Consider the following 4,413-nt stretch of genomic DNA (forward strand, 5'->3'; position numbering starts at 1 on the left):
GGGCCTTTGCAGATGTAATTATGTTAAAGATTTTGAGAGGAGATAATCCTGGATTATACGGATAGACACTAAGTCCAGTGATCTGTTTTTATAAGAGAATGCCCTCCCAGACAGACAGATGGAATAGGAGAATGTTTAGACAGAAGAAGAGAAGAGAATGGGAAGATAGAGGTAGTGACTGGAATGATGTGGCCACAAGGAAAGGAAGTCAAGAAATGCTGACAGCCACCAGAAGCAGAAAGAGGCACGGAAAATTGTCCACCCAAACCGCTGGGGAGGTATGGCCTGGGACACCTTGGTATCAGATATCTGGCTTGCAGAACTGTGAGAGAACAAATTTCTTCTGTTTTAAGCTTCCCAGATTGTGATTATTTACTACAGCAGCCACAGGAATCTAATAAATACAATCCCACTCTCTTTCCACTCATAGATGAAACAAGAAAGCAAACTTTTGCATGTAGGCATAAGAGGATAAATTTGAAAATCTCTTGATATGAAGTCAGCTGTTTGGGTATGACCACTGTCTATAGCCATTGTCTGAGAGTGCCTGGTGACCACACCTAGAGATTGTGACGTCAAGTCCTCCCTGACAGAGGACACCGATCTCAGGTACAGTCTCCCTCACTGCAAGCCAAAGACAAAGGAATACTGAGAAATGAAGGGATAACTGTTATTTTAATCAGTTCTGCTTACATTGTTCTTATTTCTGAAAATGTTACATTCTGTTGCAGCAAAAATCTGGTGTTGGGACTAACAGTGCTCACCAGATAATAGATTAGGTACAAGGTAAATTTGTGATCGAGAGGAGAGATTTTATCGGTGTTATTTTGGTAAACGTATATCTTTCCTTCTGGAAATGCCTATCATTATCTGAGAAAAGGCCAGTTGAGAGATGTAAATAGTTATGATCTGGGATGATCATTTTCTTGTTTGTGCTCAAATCTACTCCTGTTTCTACCCTGATACTTCTACCACACAATAACACAAACAAACAAACAAAAAACCTGAGCATTACAAACTGCCAGGCAGGTTTCTGTCTAATGCCAATGATTGGTGACATAACATTGGTGTGTAGGAGAAATAGAAAAGTCAGAAATATTTCCCTGGCTCCGACATGGATGGAATTTCTCACAGTAGCTACATTTGCACCTTGGTCCCATCTCCTGCCACACACCTTTCCTCTCCAGTGTTACAGATCCCACTAAGGATGGTGTTTCAGTTTCTTTCTGTTTACTGTCTTTGTGACTAGTTGCTCATACTAAATCTCTCTGTTGAACCAACTGGACCTTGACTGAGTTGAAATCAAAGGGAAAAGGTCACACTGGTTCACCATCAATTTGAACTTAAATCAGTCAGTCCTGAAAGATTTAAGTTCACTTGGGTGTTCTTGGTTTAAATAATAACCAATATGTGGATGATGATTAAATTTTTCAAATAAATCTTATCTGTTCACTGTAGTATCCCAGAAGAGAGAGGTAGGACAGAGATATCTGATGATGCAGACCACCAATAAGAAGCATATCTAACGTTTGATTTAAGGCATCTGTCCGCAAAGCCTATGATCTTTCTCTAATCCAACAGGAAGATGTGCCATCCCCTTGATAGCTGGAGGGTATGATAAAATGATGGTATTTTAATTACTTACGAGCAAAGGTGAGATTCACGTCAGGTTTCTGATTTCTGAGGGAGATGAAATTCTTATTCGCTAATAGTATATATTCAAAAAGAGAGCATTGAATTATTAATTGTTAAGATGGATATAATGTCGGTCTTCTTATATGAATTGGAAATCTTTGGCCCATTGAAATGAAATGATTAAAAAACCATATTCTAGAATTTGGTATACCTGCAGATGAACTACAGCTTCACAGGCCAGAATGCATGCAAAAATATTTCACAATTTCAAGTTAATATTGAAGCAAATATTAAATTGTAAATAATATGTGTTTTTTATATTTCTGCAAACTTTTCAATGAAGACCATAGTATTTCCCTCAGGATGATTTGTTTCATTTAAGAAATTATACTTTGTTATATTCTTGCACAAATATTTCATTGTTTAACACAATTTATATTTTATCTATCCTAATGCTTTAGGATTAGGATAGATAAAATGCACTTAGCATTAGGAGATATACCTAATGCTAAATGACGAGTTAATGGGTGCAGCACACCAGCATGGCACATGTATACATATGTAACTAACCTGCACATAGTGCACATGTACCCTAAAACTTAAAGTACAATAATAATAAAATTATAAAAATAAAATAAAATAAAATAATAAAATAATTTAAATTTGAAAAAATATATATATATTTTATCTAATATGTTTAGGGTTTCTGGGGCAATGCTAATCATTGAAATACTTAAATTATGTTTGCTATGTATCCTCAAGTAATAAATATGCAAATAATTAAATATTATAAAACATGACTAAAAGCTTGATTTATTAATAATGTTATTGAAATAAAATATTGTTACTTCCAAACATGCAAAAATGAAAATAATAAACAGTAGATATAATAATTAATAGACATGGATTTGAAATCTTCAAACATTAAATTTCTAGAAAATTAAAATAAAGAATTAAAAATATTTTTTAAAATACAAATACTTTTAATAGCTTTATATTTTCATAGCAGACATTAGAAATTCAACCTTGTTTCCAGCAAATAAGGACTTATTCAAGCATAGAGGACTTTTTAATACCATAAGAATTCTCATTTTATGTTGCCTTTAATTTTAAAAATTATCAATAAAGTGCCTTTAATTTGAAGAATGTTTATGTGTTAAATAATATTTTTAAAGGTATTTTAGTATTAATATTTTATATAAATTATATTCCTTCATTAATGAGAAATGCAACTGACATTGGGCTATCACTTTTAGGAATGTTGGTTAAGTGTTTACAAAGTTTTTTATAATGATAATTTTATAATTTTTATTTACCTAAATTTCGGAGAATGTTAAAAATTACTATATGTAAGTATTTTTACAGATAAGTGAATATGTCACTTGCTATACAACATATTCTCTATAATTGAGATTTGTATGGTTGAAAAAAATCTGTGCAATAACAAGAGGGGCAATTCACAGCAAATATTTTCAGCACATCTTCTTACATGCTTCTAATCCATATGACTTTAAGGTAGAAGTGAAAAAATTTTCACTCCAGCCTTCCTATCCTAAAAATGAGATGACTCACTTCCAAAGAGGCTTTTATCTCAAAATAAAACAGATGCCTCATAGGAGAAGATAACACAACAAAACATTCTGACTTACACCCTATTTTTGTTCTTTATATTTGCTGCTGGCTTTCTAATAGACTATAGATTTCTCATCTCCCTTTCAAATTCGTATGATCTTTGCAAGTATCTATAAGGCAGGTATTATTACCATTTTACAGATTAGAAAACTGAAAGATTATGTTAACATAATCTTTATTTCTTGAGTAGCAAACTAAATTAAATGCTTTTTAATATAGGTAATCATAGCCATTATGTGTCAGAGTGCTTTCCATAAACCACATTCTGTGTTAAGTCCTTTATATAATATTTATTTAATTCTCTCAATAGTATGAGTTAGATTTTAATGTCACCATTTTACAGATGAAGAGACTGGACTTTAGAGAGAGTAAGTTAAATGTCACCTCTTCTAAATGGTAGAGATAAGTTTTGAAACCAGGTCTACCTGATTTCAAAGAGGAAGCACTTCCTGTAAAAAATAACTTGATACTAGAAAGGAATTTCATTAGGTCTATTTCTAAGCTTTTAAGTATGTGGTTACATATCCATTTTGCATATTTCAGAAAAGTCAAATACTATTAGCCCTGATAGTCACTTCTTTTTAAAAATTGTTTCTCTTGGACCTGAGAGCTTACATTTCTACAGATAGAAATACTAAAGTTGAACAACCTTGTTCCAATTTAATAAATAATAATTTGTATTAGAGTAGTAGGAAATGTATTTTAAAAGTCATTGTATATGTCTGATTTGTTCAACCTAAAGTTCTATTCAAATAAAATGGTAATGTGGGACAGATCATTAATTATAACCCCAATTTATTTCATGGATATGGACTGTACATTCAAATTTCATTTATATCTTTAGTCAATGCGTGCACGTGATCAGGAATGTAAATGACTTAATACCATTCATCTATGTGACTGGGGAAAATTTTAAACTGAAAGACCTATTATAGATAAATTAACATTTTTATTTCTACTATGAAAAATTCCTGTTAGTTTTAATAAGAGGAATATACACCCTTCATAGCCCAAGTATGAAGTTATAAGTACATAACAACATATCAACAGAGTGACTGCAAAGGAAGTGTCATAAGTAGAGATTTACATCATTACCCACCCCATAAATAAAGAAATAAAAAACATGCAAAAATAGTTGAGATAAGA

The 4,413-nt window shown here is 32.0% G+C and overlaps 1 annotated feature.

The window, feature by feature from the left end:
- Window positions 466-605: a silencer, noted in NCBI's record as "fragment chr3:161967975-161968114 (GRCh37/hg19 assembly coordinates)". NCBI's record gives its function as "represses an EF-1alpha promoter that drives an FKBP-Casp9 reporter gene in an ReSE screen in K562 erythroleukemia cells {active_cell/tissue: K562}" and the evidence as "EXISTENCE:reporter gene assay evidence [ECO:0000049][PMID:32094911]".

Source organism: Homo sapiens, chromosome 3, assembly GCF_000001405.40.
Source record: "Homo sapiens chromosome 3, GRCh38.p14 Primary Assembly".
In the NCBI taxonomy this organism is placed as follows: Eukaryota; Metazoa; Chordata; class Mammalia; order Primates; family Hominidae; genus Homo; species Homo sapiens.